General features: G+C 46.2%; 3 annotated features.

The window, feature by feature from the left end:
- Positions 11,360–11,549: an enhancer, noted in NCBI's record as "active region_15992". NCBI's record gives its function as "activates an Ori minimal core promoter by ATAC-STARR-seq in GM12878 lymphoblastoid cells {active_cell/tissue: GM12878}" and the evidence as "EXISTENCE:reporter gene assay evidence [ECO:0000049][PMID:35858748]".
- Positions 11,570–11,629: an enhancer, noted in NCBI's record as "active region_15993". NCBI's record gives its function as "activates an Ori minimal core promoter by ATAC-STARR-seq in GM12878 lymphoblastoid cells {active_cell/tissue: GM12878}" and the evidence as "EXISTENCE:reporter gene assay evidence [ECO:0000049][PMID:35858748]".
- Positions 16,457–16,556: an enhancer, noted in NCBI's record as "active region_15994". NCBI's record gives its function as "activates an Ori minimal core promoter by ATAC-STARR-seq in GM12878 lymphoblastoid cells {active_cell/tissue: GM12878}" and the evidence as "EXISTENCE:reporter gene assay evidence [ECO:0000049][PMID:35858748]".

Raw genomic sequence — 16,866 nt, forward strand, 5'->3', positions numbered from 1 at the left:
TTTACTTGGGTATATATTATATATGATGGGAAGAGCTAGTAATTTTTTTTCCCCAAATTGCAGGCTCGTTGTCCAATGATATTTATTGAATAATCCAAGAAGGGAAAATATGTGGTCCGAGTGAATCTGTCTCCCCTTCCCGGGCCCCCGGAAGACATTTCTAATCAAATGCAGAACTCCTGGCTAAACTCAGACTAGGCCTCACAGCCCGATTAGAACTGCAAGCAGCTACCTCCAACCTACGAGATTTGTCATCAAGATGAAACATTTTGTCATTCCCTAAGTAATCTATCCTTTTTCCTATTGATGTGTTACTGACATACCTGTCTTTTCTTTCTGTGTTACTGACATACCTGTCTTTTCTTTCTGTGTTACTGACATACCTGTCTTTTCTTTCTGTGTTACTGACATACCTGTCTTTTCCTGTGCCAGCTCCACACTGTTTGGTTATCACTTCCAAGTACTAAATGGTAATGACTGGTAGCACCAGTCTTATACCATTTTTCAACATTTTAAAATTATTTCCTCAAACAAAAGTCAGACTCAGAATATGTCAGAAAATATTTAAAAATAAAAAATAAAATTATTTTTTCTGATTTAAACTTTTGATTTTTATTACATCAAAGTATTTCCAAAATAAATTAAAATTTAAAATTCATATTAGATTTTCCAATCTAGGTATACATAGTGTTTCTTTCCATTTTTAAAGATTCCCTTTATTTCTCTGAATGTTTTTTTTTCATAATGTCTTTCACATTACTGGTCGACTTTATTCCTGCATATTTCATATTTGTGGTTGCTATCAGAAGTGGAAGTTTTGGCAGGGCGCAGTGACTCACGCCTGTAATCCCAGCACTTTGGGAGGCCGAGGTGGGGGGATCACTTAAGGTCAGGAGTTCGAGACTAGCCTGGCCAACATGGTGAAACCCTGTCTCTACTAAAAATACAAAAATTAGCCTGGCTTGGAGCTGGGCATCTCTAATCCCAGCTGCTAGGAAAGCTGAGGTAGGAGAACCTCTTAAACCCAGGAGGGGGAGGTTGCAGTGAGCCAAGATCACACCACTCCACTCCATCCTGGGTGACGGAGTGAGACTGTCTGAAAACAATAAATAAATAAATTTTAAAAAATAAAAGAGTAAAAGAAGTGGAAGTTTTTTAAATATAACATCTCATTTCTCACTCTGTCACCCAGGCTGGAGTGCAGTGGCATGATCTCAGCTCACTGCAACCTCTGCCTCCCAGGTTCAAACGATTCTCCTGCCTCAGCCTCCCGAGTAGCTGGGATTACAGGGGCGTGCCACCATGCCAGGCTAATTTTTGTTGTTGTTTTTGTTTTTGGTTTTTGAGATGGAGTTTCGCTCTTGTTGCCCAGGCTGGAGTGCAGTGGCGCGATCTCAGCTCACTGCAACCTCTGCCTCCCAGGTTCAAGCAATTCTCCTGCCTCAGCCTCGCGAGTAGCTGGGATTATAGGCATGCACTACCACGCCCTTCTAATTTTGTATTTTTAGTAGAGACGGGGTTTCTCCATGTTGGTCAGGCTGGTCTCGAACTTCCAACCTCAGGTGATCCGCCCACCTCAGCCTCCCATAGTGCTGGGATTACAGGCGTAAGCCACCATGCCTGGCCTTAATTTTTGTATTTTTAGTAGAGGTGGGGTTTCACCATGTTGGCCAGACTGATCTTGAACTCCTGACCTCAAGTGATCCTCCCACCTTGGCCTCCCAAAGTGTTGGGATTACAGGCGGGAGCCACTGTGCCTGGCTTTGTTTCTTATTACTAGAATGTAAGCTTCATGAGAGCAGAGTCCACATATCTTTTGTTCATAACAGCCATAGAGCTGGCCGGGCATGGAGGCTCACACCTGTAATCCCAGCACTTTGAAAGGCCAAGGTGGGCGGATCACGAGGTCAGGAGATCGAGACCATCCTGGCCAACATGGTGAAACTCCATCTCTACTAAAAATACAAAAATTAGACAGGTGTGGCAGCACATGCCTGTAATCCCAGTTACTTGGGAGGCTGAGGCAGGAGAATCACTTGAACCCAGGAGGCAGAGGTTGCAGTGAGTTGAGATCGAGCCACTGTACTCCAGCCTGGAGACAGACCTAGACTCCGTCTCAGAAAAAAAAAAAAAAAATAGCCATAGAGCTTAAGAAACAGTGCCTCCACATTGTAGTTTCTCAATAAAAGTTTTTAAATGAATGAAGGAATAATGGCACAAAGCAATGCTATTATTTTAGTGTTATTAATTTGTAACAGGCGCCGGGCGCAGGGGCTCACTCATGCCTGTAATCCCAGCATTTTGGGAGGCCAAGGTGGGTGGATCACCTGCACTCAGGAGTTTGAGACCAGCCTGGCCAACATGGTGAAACCTCGTCTCTACTAAAAATACAAAAATTAGCCAGGCGTGGTGGCGTGTGCCTGTAATCCCAGCTACTCGGGAGACTGAGGCAGGAGAATTGCTTGAACCCAGGAGGTGGAGGTTGCAGTGAGCCGAGATTGCATCATTGTACTCCAGCGTGGGCGACAGAGCAAGACTCTGTCCCCCTCAAAAGAAAAAAAGAAAGAGAGAGAGAGAAGAAAGAAAGAAAAGAGAGAGAAAGAAGGAGAGAAAGAAGGAGAGAGAAGGAAAGAAAGAAAGAAAGAAGGAAAGAAAAGAAAGAAAGAAAGAAAGAAAAAGAAAATGAGCAAAGGAAGGATTTGGTGGCAAGGAGGTCATTGGTGATCTTAGTGAGTGTGGGGAGTATCTTTGTTGGGCTGGGGCGAAAGCCGCCTGTGATGGTTGAGGAGAGGTGACAATATGCAGACTGCCTCTGGGCTACTCCTTCAAGAAGCTTAGCAGGGCCAGGCGGTGGTTCACACCCACAATCCCGGCACTCTGGGAAGCCAAGGCATGAGGATCACTGGAGCCCAGGAGTTCAAGACCAGTGTAGGCAACATGCTGAAATCCTGTCTCTTACAAAAAATACAAAAATTAGCTGAGTGAGGCTGGGTGCGGTGGCTCATGCCTGTAATCTCAGCATTTTGGGAGGCCGAGACAGGCGGATCACTTGAGGTCAAGAGTTCAAAACCAGCCTGACCAACACAGTAAAAATCCATCTCTACTAAAAATACAAAAATACAAAAATTATTGCACCACTGCACTCCATCCTGGGTGAAAGAGTGAGACTCCATCTCAAAAAAAAAAAAAGAAAAGAAAAGAAAAGAAATGAAATTAGCTCAGTGTGGTGGCTGGCGCCTGTAGTCCCAGCTACTCCAGGGGCTGAGGTGGAAGGATTGCTTTAGCCTGGGAGTTCGAGGCTGCAGTGAACCGTGATTGCGCCACTGCCCTCCAGCCTGGGCGACAGAGCGAGACCTTGTCTCAAAAAAAAAAAAAAAGAAGAAGAAGAAGCCACTAAGCTAAGAGGTAGGTACTAAGTTGAAGGGGAGACAGAATGGAGATAAGGATTTGGGTTTTTTAGGTGGTAGTGACACAAGGATGTTCATAAGCTGAAGAAGAAAAGACCAACAAACAGACTAAACATTTGAGAATGAGACAGAGGAAAAAGCATACGGAGCAAAGCACAGAGGTCACAGGGTGTGTGGCCAGCAGTGGTGGGGACGCTGCTAGCTTTCTCTGAAGTGGGAGAAAAGGAGTGTTCCTTTCCCTGCACTTTCTCAACCACACTGACTGAGGAAGGACAGAGGGGGCCCAGAGAGCAGTGGGGGTGTCCAATCACTGTTCTTGGGCCTGGAAACTGTTGGGGCTGTGGACCCCAGAGTACTGAAGGACTGCTGGACGGAGCGTATGGCTCCATCTGAGCCTGTAAATCATAAATCTACCTGGTCAAAGAGTAAAGGCCTCAAAGGTTCTGAGTTAATTGGTCTGGTTTTTGACCTGAGCATCAGAAATTTTTTAAGCTCCCTGAGTGAGTCTAACATGCAGCCATGGTTGAGAACCACTGGGGTTAAGAAGTGAATTGAGACGTATGGAGACTTAAATCTCCAACCCTGGGTGGGAGGACAAGGAGAGGCTCTGCCGCCCTGGCTGGAATAGTGGGGCCCTGTTTGGGTTGTGGACGTCCCTTCAGTCACAGGAGGATGAATTCCTGCCTTGTTCCTTTGGTCGGATCTGAATTCTTCCCCAACCTCCCGCCCTAACTGATAGCATACAGGGCTTCCCAGACAGAGACCATCAGCCCCTAGGGTGGCAGAGAAAGGCCAGGTTCAGGAATGTGACATTAATTATGACAAACAATATGTTCTCCCACTTAAGAACTAAGCCTGGTTGGCTGCGCATGTGCGCGCGCGTGCTTGTGTGTGGGTGTGTGGTGGGGTATGTGTGTGTCCGGGGCTGCCGATTCAACTGAAAAACAAAAGCGGCTCTGAGTCTGAAGCTAAGGTTTAACAAGTGACCAAGATGACTCATGCTGCTTGGCTGCAAAGGCCACAGGGCTGCCACCCCCAGCGGGGCGGGGCCTGGGTGGGAAGAGTCACAGGTACAGAGGCTCCTGTGACATTCACACTCTGCCCCTGCATCGGCTGCCTTTGGGGCCAAATACTTTTGTGAAAATTAAGACAGAAGGCCGGGTGCGGTGGTTCACGCGTGTAATCCCAGCACTTTTGGAGGCCGAGGCAGGCGGATCACGAGGTCAAGAGATGGAGACCATCCTGGCCCACATGGTGAAACCCTGTTTCTACTAAAAATACAAAAATAGGCAGGGCGTGGTGGCTCACGCTTGTAATCCCAGCACTTTGGGAGGCTGAGGCGGGCAGATCACGAGCTCAGGAGATCGAAATCATCCTGGCTAATACGGTGAAACCCCGTCTCTACTAAAAATACAAAAAATTAGCCGGGTGTGGTGGCACGTGCCTGTAGTCTCAGCTACTCAGGAGGCTGAGGCAGGAGAATTGCTTGAACCCAGGAGGTGGAGGTTGCAGTGAGCCAAGACTGCGCCACCTCACTCCAGCCTGGCAACAGAGTGAGACTCCATCTCAAAAAAAAAACAAAAACAAAAACAAAAAGTAACTGGGTGTGGTGGCCCGCACCTATAGTCCCAGCTACTCGGGAGGCTGAGGCAGGAGAATCACTTGAACCCAGGAGGCGGAGGTTGCAGTGAGCCGAGATCGTGCCACTGTACTCCAGACTGGCGACAGAGCCAGACTCCCTCTCAAAAAAAACAAAAAACAAAAAAGAACCAGAAAATGTAACTTTCTTCCTATGGTCATAAATCTGGTGTAAGCAGGCAAGTCAAAGCGATGTTGAAGCCAATGGATCTTGCAAAGGCATGGCAATGTTTGCACAAGGATGGGATATAGTAAGTTAAAATACATTGGCTTTTTCCAAACGGGCTCAAACTGGAAGAGAAGGTCTAAGCAGAGCATGTGCTGCTGTCAGGAGGGTTCCTCAGCAGGAGACAGGGCACCCCAGGGGTGCATATTTAATAAAAACTTACAATATGCAGGTTTTGGGACATGAAGGAAACATTTAACCTGTCCTGTCCAACACGGCAGCCACTTGTCACATGCGGCAGTTGAATACTTGGAATATGGCTAGTCTGAATAAAGATGTAAAACATACGCCGGATTTTAGACTTAGTACAGGGGTGGGAAAGAGTTTAAAATAGCTCAGTATAGGCCGGGCACAGTGGTTCACACCTGTAATCCCAGCACTTTGGGAGGCCAAGGTGGGCAGATCACCTGCAGTCAGGAGTTTGAGACCAGCCTGGCCAACATGGCAAAACCCTGTCTCTAATAAAATTACAAAAATTAGCTGGGAATGGTTGCGGGCGCCTGTACTTCCAGACACTCGGGAGGCTGAGGCAGGAGAATTGCTTGAACCTGGGAGGAAGAGGTTGCAGTGAGCTGAGATCACACCACTGCACTCCAGCCTGGGAGACATAGAGACTCCGTCTCAAAAAAAAAAAAAAACCTCTCTCTCCATGTATATATCTGTGTGTGTGTGTGTGTGTGTGTGTGTGTGTATTTTTTGTTTGTTTTGTTTTCACGGCTCACTGCAGCCTCAAACCTCTGGGCTCAAGTGTTCCTCCTGCCTCAGCCTCCTGAGCAGCTGGGACTACAGGCGCTCACCACCATGCCAAGCTAACCTTTTACTTTTTTGTAGAGATAGGTTCTTGCTATTATGTCCAGGCTGGTCTCGAGCTCCTGGGCTAAGGTGATCCTCCTGCCTTGGCCTCCCAAAGTGCTGGGATTAATAAACCACCATACCTGGCCAAACTCAATAATTTATTAATACTTTAAAAATACTGACTACGAGCTGGGCACAGTGGCTCATGCCTGTAATCCCAGCACACTTTGAGAGGCTGAGGAAGGCAGATCACTTGAGGTCAGGAGTTCAAGACCAGCCTGGACAACATGGCAAAACCCCGTCTCTACTAAAAATACAAAAATTAGCTGGGCATAGTGGCACACACCTTTAATCCCAGCTACTCGGGAGGCTGAGGCAGGAGAATCACTTGAACCTGGGAGGCAATGGTTGCAGTGAGCCAAGATCCCGCCACTGCACTCCAGCCTGGGCAACAGAGCGAGACTATTTCTCAAACAAAACAAACAACTCTTATCACCCAGGCTGGAATGCATTGACAGAATCCTAGCTCACTGCAGCCTCTAATTCCTGGGCCCAAGTGATCCTCCCGCTTTAGCCTCCTGTGTAGCCACCCCACCAGCCTTAAATGTTTTTTCAACCTGATAGAAAGATATAGCAATCTGTCTGCTCTCTTTCCTAGTCTTCCTTTTTTTTTTTGTTTTTTTTTACAAAGATTGCTAAACATTTATGACATGCTGGTAGAGTAAGAGATACAGGAAATGGGCGGGGCGCGGTGGCTTACGCCTGTAATCCCAGCACTTTGGGAGGCCAAGGCGGGCGGATCACCTGAGATTGGGAGTTCGAGACCAGCCTGACCAACATGGAAAAACCCTGTCTCTACTAAAAATACAAAATTAGCCAGGCATGGTGGCACATGCCAGTAATCCCAGCTACTCGGGAGGCTGAGGCAGGAGAATTGCTTGAACCGTGGAGGCAGAGGTTGCCAAGATCATGCCATTGCACTCCAGTCTGGGCAACAAGAGCAAAACTCCATCCCAAAAAAGAAATAATAATAATTCTTTCTAAAGAAGGGGTCTCGCTATGTTGCTCAGGCTGAGGCGCAGTGACTGTTCACAGATGTGATCATAACACACTACAACCTCAAACTCCTGGCCTCAAGGGATTCTCTCGGCTCAGCCTCCGGAGTAGCAGGGACCACAGGCATGCGCCACGGCACCCAGTGTGGCACATTTTAAAAAATGCAGCCACTTAAGGGCACTTTCTGTTGTTTTATTTATCTTTCAAGTTTTACTTATTTATAAATCTATGCACACATACACATGTACTATTGGATGAGAGCAGCAGGAGGCTGTGGAAAGGATACTTGGCATAAAGCCAAGAGCACTTGTCTCCAGGTCTGATCTCCCACTTCCTGGGGCTCAATTTCCCCATTCATAAAATGGGTGGGTTGGCCTAGATAGGCCTAAGGACTCTTCCAGCTTAGATATTGCAGGATTCTAGATTGAAGTCAAACTGTTCCTTAGATTTTGTGTCTGATCCCACAGCCAGAGAGCAGGGCTGGTTTCCTTGTTAATGCGATCCAGTGCTGTCAGCCATGAGAGACTTCACCTTTGGAACAGAAATTTCCATCTGCATCCTCTCTGCAGATCATGCCTATCCCTCCTCCCCACTGACACCCCCCCTCATGTAAATCAGCCTGGGGAATCAGATCTTGGAGAAACTTCGATCTCTTTATCTGGAAGGCACAAAGATAGCATTGCAAAGCCTGCTGCTGGTGTGGAGGTGGTGTTCAGGAATGCTTCACATTTTTCTAGCAAGTTTCATTCCTAGTAGTATAATCTTGAGGAGAGGCCTTTCCCCAGGGAGGCTTTGGGGAAACTAGCAATGGAATGAGGGAAAGAACATGGACTGGGTGGGAGAGAGCCTTCTTTAGAAGGAAATACTGGCAAAATCCGGTATTGCAAAGTTTTGAAAAAATCCATCCTGCCGGGCACGGTGGCTCACGCCTGTAATCCCAGCACTTTGGGAGGCCGAGGCGGGCGGATCACAAGGTCAGGAGATCGAGACCATCCTGGCTAACCTGGTGAAACCCCGTCTCTACTAAAAATACAAAAAAAATTAGCCGGGCGTCGTGGTGGGCGCCTATAGTCCCAGCTACTCGGGAGGCTGAGGCAGGAGAATGGCGTGAACCCGGGAGGTGGAGCTTGCAGTGAGCCGAGATCAAGCCACTGCACTCCAGCCTGGGTGACAGAGTGAGACTCCGTCTCAAAAAAAAAAAAAAAAAAAAAGAAAAAATCCATCCTATTGCATTTGCTTAGAAAGAACCTGGGGCTGGGCAGTCGGCCTGGCTCTGTCACTGTGTGATTTTAAAAGACATTTAATGTTTCCAAGCTACTGAGTGCAACAGGTTTCTCACTGAGCTTGATTTTGCACCCCTCCAGCCCACCCTCTATCTACAATGCTGCCAGCACTGACTCTAAAATGCACATGACTCCACCTCCACTCCCACCCCACTGACTCCATTACCTGTAGCAAAAAATAAAAGAAAATCTAAACTCTTCTCTATGACATTTGAAGCCTTTAAAATCTGGTCCCAGGCTACATTTTTAATCTCATCTCATACTCTCCAGCTCACTGAGCCCCTTTCCCTATTGTCCTGAGTCCGTATCTGCCTCTGGACAGCCATGAGCTCCACTGGGAAGGACAGTGGCTTGGCCACCCCAGCTGTGTTCTTCCCCCAGTACCCTTTCCAGTTCCTGGCACAGAGGCTCAGTAAAGGTTTGATGCCTGAATAACCAACTAAATGGGCAATCATGTAAATCAAGGAAGGCCCATGGACTGGACAACTCCTAAATTCCCTTCCAGCACTAACTTCTGAGTAATGTTCCCCAGGGCAGAGCTCAAAACTGCTTAGGACTTGACCTAGTTCATACTGTTACTGCAGTTTGAAAAACAGAGACAGGTGGTCTGACAAAGGGTTTAAAAGTTTTTTATTCATATGACAATTTTGCATACAGCAGAAAAATTAAAATACAATGCAATTTAAATATTTAAAATTGCTTTAAAACAAGATCATCCTATGGTTACACAACAATGTGAATGTGCTTAATGCCATGTACACTTAGATGGCTGAGATGGTAAACTTTATGTTATGTGTATTTCACTACAATTGAAAAAAAACAAGACTGCCAGGCACGATGTCTCACGCCTATAATCCCAGCATTTTGGGAAGCCAAGACAGGAAGATCACTTGAGGCCAAGAATTCAAGACCAGCCTGGGCAACAACAGCAAAAAAATCTTACAATTAGTTAGCCATGGTGGTGCATGCCTGTGGTCCCAGCTACTCGGGAGGCTGAGGCAGGAAGATCGCTTGAACCCAGGAGGTTGAGGCTGCAGTGAGTAGCGTTCGTGCCACTGCACCCCAGCCAGGGCGACAGAGTGAGACCCTGTCTCAAAAAAACAAACAAAAAACTCAAGACTTTCCTGGATGTGTAGTTGCTACCACCATGCCCCTGGCCCTTCTGTAGAGGGGGCTTTTAAAGAGATAAAACAAACAAAAATCTCAAGTAGGAGAAGTATTGAAACCTTTGATTCCTAGAGAAGATGGAGAAAGAAAGGATTCCTGGTTTAACAAAATGTTAAATGTAGTGAAATTTAAAGTACCCTAATATCACCAATGCCCAGAAGCCTCAGCCATCTGTCACACTGAGGGCTAGGAAATGAGCAAAAATGCCTCTGTGGGACCACAAGAAATATCATTAGACTAATCAAAGAACCAATTTTATGAAGTAGATGATCCCAATTTTTAAAACTGTAAAGAAAGCATTTACGTTTTTGTTTTTGTTTTATAAAGACAGGGTCTCGCTGGGTGCAGTGGCTCACTCCTGTAATCCCAGCACTTTGGGAGGCCAAGGTGGGTGAACCACAAGCTCAGGAGGTCGAGACCATCTTGTCCAACATGGTGAAACCCCGTCTCTACTAAAAATACAAAAATTAGTTGGGTGTGATAGCACGTGCCTGTAATCCCAGCCACTCGGGAGGCTGAGGCTGGAGAATCGCTTGAACCCGGGAGGCGGAGATTGCAGTGAGCCGAGATTGCGCCACTGCACTCCAGCCTGGGTGACAGAGTGAGACTCCATCTCAAAAAAAAAAAAAGAAAAGAAAAGACAGGGTAGACCTCTGTTGCCCAGGCTGGACGGAGCGTAGTGGCGCAATTATAGCTCACCATAGCCTCAACCTTCTGGCATCAAGCAATCCTTCCACTTCAGCCTCCCAAGTAGCTAGGACCCTAGGTGTGTACCACCATGCCCAGCTAATTTTTTTGGCGGGGGTGTGGGGGAGGGTTCACACTATGTTGCCTAGGCTGATGTCGAATTCCTGGCTGCAAGCAATCCTCCTGCCTTAGCCTCCCAAAGGGCTGGGATTACAAGAGTGAGCCACTGCACCCAGTGGTTACCATTTTATAGTCAAGGAAATTAAAGCTTAGAAAAAGTAACTTGTGGCTGGGTGCCGTGGCTCACGCCTGTAATCCCAGCATTCTGGGAGGCCAAAGGGGGTGGATCACCTGAGGTAAGGAGTTCAAGACCAGCCTGACCAACATGGAGAAACCCTGTCTCTACTAAAAATACAAAATTAGCCAGATGTGGTGGTGCATGCCTGTAATCCCAGATACTCGGAAAGCTGAGGCAGGAGAATCACTTGAACCTGGGAGGCGGAGGTTGCAGTGAGCCAAGATCGCACCATTGCACTCCAGCCTGGGCAACAAGAGCAAATCTCCATCTCAAAAAAAAAAAAAAAAGAAAGAAAGAAAGAAAAGGTAACTTGTGTAAATTTATATATACAGCTGGCCAGTTGAAAACTAAGATTCAAAACTACCTTGGGTGTGGGAAGAGTTTAAAAAAAAATCAACCAAGTCCATGCTGTTTCCAGTGCCCCATTCCTTATAATGGCTTTCTTGTTAGGCTTGGTTTTGCTTTGAGTCCTCCCAAAGCAACTCTGACTACCTAATCAAAACAGGACATTATTAGAAGGAGCCTAGGGTGGCTCCGGGGACTAAAGGAAGTGCTAACAAACAGCCCTAGACAGGCAGGGACCGCGGCAGCTGAGGGACCTTCATTCTAAAACACGAGCATTCATGTGACACTGCTCCAAGCTTGCCAGGCTCAGAGATTCTGTTCAGGTTTCAAATTCCTAGGAGAGAGAATCTGGTTTGCCTGCCTGTGTTAGGTGCCCACAGCCCTATCAGTCAGCTCTGCCCAGGGAGACAGAGTCCTGAACCCTAGACATGGCCACTGGGGTGCATCCTAGGTGTTGGCTCTTCCCAGAGGAGGGAAATCCCTGTGAGTCAGGCAGTCCCCTCAGGTAAGTCCCCAGCAGAAAATTTTCTGTGGGGAGGAAAAAGGGAACAGAAGTAGCCTGTCACCCGAGAAGCCTCCATGGCAACATTTGGAGCTATCAATTCAGCCTCAGCCTCACAGTTTGCTCCCTTCAAGGTTTCACCATTATCAGGGGCTGCAAACCTGGGCAGCATATCTGCAATTCTGGCCTCGCTTTATCCTTCAGTGTTAAAACTCATCTTAACTACACCAAGGTTGCTGGAGCTTGTCTTCCAAAGTCACCCTTGGGGGCTTAGTGGGTGCAAGGGCCGCTCAGGGCAAATGAAAATGAAAGGCACACAACCAAGAAAGCTCAGAGGTGCCTGGAAGGCAGGCTGTGCTCACTCTCCAGAAACCCCTGAAGGCTCTTTCGGAAGAAAGAAAAGAAAAATGTGTGCCATGCATTTGACTCGGTTTAGCTGTGCTTTGGGGCTCATGACATGGAAACCTGCCCATGCACAGTCAGCCCTAACAAGCAATAACCAGAGGTGTCTGGCCTAAACTCTAAAATGCTCTTAAGGATATTAGAACCATTAACTCTAACTGGAGTTAATCTATAGGCACAAATCACTCGCCAAATTAACTGGCCAGTGGTTTAACAGCCTTTCAAACTCAGGAAGGCCTGTATATAAATCGACAGCAGCAACTACCACTGCTTAGCACCTACCTTACTGCTATTTCAATTGCATTTCTCTACAATCCTGAGAAAGCTGCTATTATTATAACCATTTATGGATGAGAAAGATGAGGCACAGAGTTTTGACGTGACCCAGAACACACAATGTTGGGAAATTCCAGACAGAATGGGGACTTGAATTTAGGTCTTCTGATCCCAAATCCTAGACGGGTGTTTCTTATGAGGACTTTCTCATGGATTCATCACTTCTTTATTCACTTTATGTCATCAGTTCTTTTTTCAGAGTAAGTTACCTAATGATTCTCCACCCTTGCACAGTGGGGCTGGCTTCTCCATGCCAGTGTAAATGTACGTACAAAGAATGCATCAGATTAGTTTCTATGCCCAAGAAAGTAATGTCACCCTTGTCTTGGGCTCTAATTGCAAGAACAGCTGAGCTGGAGCAGATCCTGGTGACCATTTGTTGCCAAGTCCAGGATTACACAGTGGACAAGAGGAGTTTTCTAGGACTACACTAAAATGAGTATAGTTAGGGTGAGGATTTCAGGACCATGGAACTAGAAGGAACTTTATTCTAAACCTCAGGCTTGAAATTCAAAACCAGAGTTTTTACTCTTGCCTGTTAGATGTCAATCAGAGCTTAGTTCAGCCTGAGTGCTCCTGCACAAGTCTTCAGTGTTCCTCTATGGATTTATGATTGTCTGGCCTCTCCATCACCCCTCTGGAGTGGGAAATAAGTGAAAGTGGCATGGAAGGAGGTATGATTTGGGCAGAGAGAAAAATCAGCCTCTTCACGGTCCTGACCTGTTTTTCAAACCCTGAGTCAAGAATCCACTGATGGGTTTGTTAAAGCAATTTACTAGGTAAAGACCAACACTTAAAAAATAAGATAAAATTAGTCAAGCGGGAAATATCAGACTATATCACATGTAGTTATGGTACATAATGTTTCATAAAACGTTTTAAAATAATTTTCAAAAATAAATATATTTATGTATAATGGTATGTAAAAATGTATCTTTTACCACAAGTCTTAGTTTAAAAAAAAAAAGTTTGAAAGGCACTGGCTAAGTGGATTGAGAACTGGAATGTCTGAGATTTATAACCCTCTCCACTTAATATGGGATCTCAGATGTCAGGGAATATTATGAGGCCTATTTAAAACTTGCCACCCAGAAACATAAAACCAAAACCAAAAGCTGCAAGGAAAAAGATTTTGAAACTAGATTTTGTAAAATATTTCTAAATTGTCTATATTAAAACATACAACAGAATTGAAAGGTGTAAAACTGAAAAAACATCTGCATCCACATGTCAAAGTGTCAAATTCTTACTATTAAAATAATGATTATAAATCAAGAAGTGAAAAAGTCTGATATTCCAACAGAAGAAAAGGGACGGAGGCAAATCATGAGAAAAAGGGAAATAGATAAAAAGATGTTCGCCGGGTGCAGTGGCTCAAGCCTGTAATCCCAGACTTTGGGAGGCTGAGGTGGGTAGATCACGTGAGGTCAGGAGTTCTAGACCAGCCTGGCCAACATGTGAAACCCCGTCTCTACTAAAAATACAAAAATTAGCTGAGCATGGTGGCGCATGCCTGTAGGCTCAGCTACTTGGGAGGCGGAGGCACAAGAATCACTTGAACCCAGGAGGCAGAGGTTGCAGTGAGCCAAGAATGCCCACTGCACTCTAGCTTGTGCAACAGAGACTCAGTCTCAAAAATAAATAAATAAATAAAAATAAAAAGATGTTCAACTTCACCAATAACGTCAATTAAGACAGGATCTAATTTTTTTTCAACTCCCAATGTTTTTTAAATACCCAGTTTTGTCAAGGATGTAACACTATAAAAGGCGCCACATATTGCTAGTGGGAGTATAATTAGATAAACTGGGAGAAAAATTGGCAATACACACCAGAAGCCTTGAAAATTGTACCCTTTGTCTTAATAATCCCTCTTCAAATAATTTATCTCAAGGAAACAATCATGGGTGTGTTCAAGGTTGTTAACAATAGTAAAAAACTTGAGGAAAAAAAAACAAACCCTGGCTGTCCAACAATAGGAATGTTATGATCTTGTTTACAAAATATAATTAATTAATTAATAAGTTAACTAGCAAAGCCCCAACATGGGGCTTGAGTTTGGGCCATTCTGGGGGCTGAAAGCCTGACCACTCCTATAGGAGTTCATTTTCCCGAGCTGACTGATGAAGGCAGAAGGAGGGAGGAGTTTAGAGAACACAGGCTTGGGGGAGGTGCGATGCAGACAATGGGACTGTTGAACCTCAGCAGAGACGGTTTGAGATGGAAGCTGAGGAGCTATTTTCAAGAGATACTTTGCAAGACTCTAAGTCTGAGGCCTGGGATTAACAAAAAAGACATCATAGGTGTGTTGGTAAAAAGTGCCCTGGAGAAGAGTACAGCAGACAAGAGGGTCTAGGGACTGTGAGGGACTTTGCAGGTTTATTTAGGGTAGGCAGGGAAGGCCCCTCTGATGAGTTGAGATTTACCAGAGACCTGAAGAAATGGTGAGAACTACCAAGGGAGGCTAGGCAGAGGGAACAGCCAGTGCAAAGGCCTTGAGGCAGCACATGCTTGCTGTGTTTTAAGAACAGCAAGGAGGCCAGTGTGGCTGGAGTATGGTGAGCACAGGTGTCACTGGCAGGAGACAAGGGCAGCAAAGCAGCCCAGGTTGGGTCATGTAGGACCCTGTGGGCATTCTAAGGATTTGTCATTTACTCTGAGTGAGATGGGGAGCCGTGGGGAGGATTTTGAGTAGGGAAGGGACATGTCCTGACTTAGGTTCTTATTTTTATTTATTTATTTATTTTTGAGATGGAGTCTTGCTTTGTCGCCGAGGCTGGAGTGCAGTGGCACAATCTCGGCTTGCTGAAACCTCCCACTCCCGAGCACAAGCGATTTTCCTGCCTCAGCCTCCCTAGTAGCTGGGATTACATGGGTGTGCCACCATGCCCAGCTAATTTTTATATTTTTAGTAGAGACAGGGATTCACCATGTTGGCCAGGCTGATCTTGAACTCCTGACCTCAAGTGATCCATCTGCCTTGGCCTCCCAAAGTGCTAGGGTTACAGGCATAAGCCACTGAGCCCGGCCCTGACTTAGGTTTTTAAAGGATCACTCTAGAGAGTGCAATGTGGAAGACAGGCTTAGGGGACAGGTATGGGGGCTGAAGACAGAAGTTGGACAACACTTAGGAGGTTACTGCAATAATCCAGGTAGGAGGTGGTGACTTGGACCAGGATGATGGCAGAGGAAACAGTGACATGTGTTCAGATCTTGGATCTATTTTGAAGGTAGACTGATAGAATTTGCTAATGGATGGGGTGAGATTTTGTGTGTGTGTGTGTGTGTGTGTGTGTGTGTGTGTGTGTGTGTGTATGAGCAAGAGAACAGGCCAGGCATGGTGGCTCACGCTTGTAATCCCAGCACTTTGGGAGGCCAAGGTGGGTGGATCAACTGGGGTCAGGAGTTTGACATGGTGAAACCCCATCTCTACTAAAAATACAAAAATTAGCGGGGTGTGGTGGTGCACATCTGTAATCCCAGCTACTCGGGAGACTGAGGCAGGAGAATCACTTGAACCTGTGAGGCAGAGGTTGCAGCGAGCCAAGATTGCACCATTGCACTCCAGCCTGGTCAACAGAGCAAGACTCCGTCTCAAAAAAAAAAAAAAAAGAGAGAGAGAGAGAACATGGGGCCCACCTCGCCCCACGTGAACCAGATTCTCTGCAGATGGTTCATGGTATTTCTTTTCTTTTTTTTCCCTTCAAGTTATTGGTGGAGAAAGTTCATGGTATTTCCTAAACACTCCCCAGGAGACACTAATGTGCAGCCAGGGTTAAGAACCACTGCTCTAGATGGTGAGGTTATAGGAAACTTTTATTCCTTTTTTTTGTTTGAGGCAGAGTCTCGCTCTGTCGCCCAGGCTAGAGTACAATGGCGCAATCTCAGCTCACCGCAACCTCTGCCTCCCAGGTTCAAGCAATTCTCCTGCCTCAGCCTCCCAAGTAGCTGGGATTACAGGCGTGAGCCACCACATCTGGCTAATTTTGTATTTTTAGTAGAGACAGGGTTTCTCCATTTTGGTCAGGCTGGTCTCGAACTCCCGACCTCAGGTGATCCGCCCGCCTTGGCCTCCCAAAGTGCTAGGATTAAAGGCGTAAGCCACTGCACCTGGCCTGGAAACTTTTATTCTTATCTTTATTTATTTATGTTTTAATATTCTTATCTTTATTTTCCACATTTTCTACAATAAAAGTTTTAATAAGAGGAGAAAGGGGGCCGGGTGCAGTGGCTCATGCCTGTAATCCCAGCAGTTTGGGAGGCCGAGGTGGGTGGATCACGAGGTCAGGAGATGGAAACCATCCTGGCTAACATGGTGAAACCCCGTCTCTACTAAAAATACAAAAAAAATTAGCCAGGCGTGGTGGCGGGCACCTGTAGTCCCAGCTACTTGCGAGACTGAGGCAGGAGAATGGTGTGAACCCGGGAGGCAGAGCTTGCAGTGAGCCGAGATCGGGCCACTGCACTCCAGCCTGGGTGACAGTGCAAGACTCCATCTCAAAAAAAAAAAAAGAGGAGAAAGGGTATTTTAAACAAAACATCTCCCCTCCCCCATCCTGAACTATGAAATGTAAGATAATAACAATACAACTTTCTTTTAATGATCATATCTCCACTTGCCAAATACCATCCCATGACCAGCATAAATGTCACCTTCTCTCTGGAGCCCCTTGCACTTCCCCAACCACCAGTGACAGCTCATTTTTGTCCTCTCCTGTGGCCCA

This window comes from Homo sapiens, chromosome 2 (assembly GCF_000001405.40).
Source record: "Homo sapiens chromosome 2, GRCh38.p14 Primary Assembly".
Taxonomy (NCBI): Eukaryota; Metazoa; Chordata; class Mammalia; order Primates; family Hominidae; genus Homo; species Homo sapiens.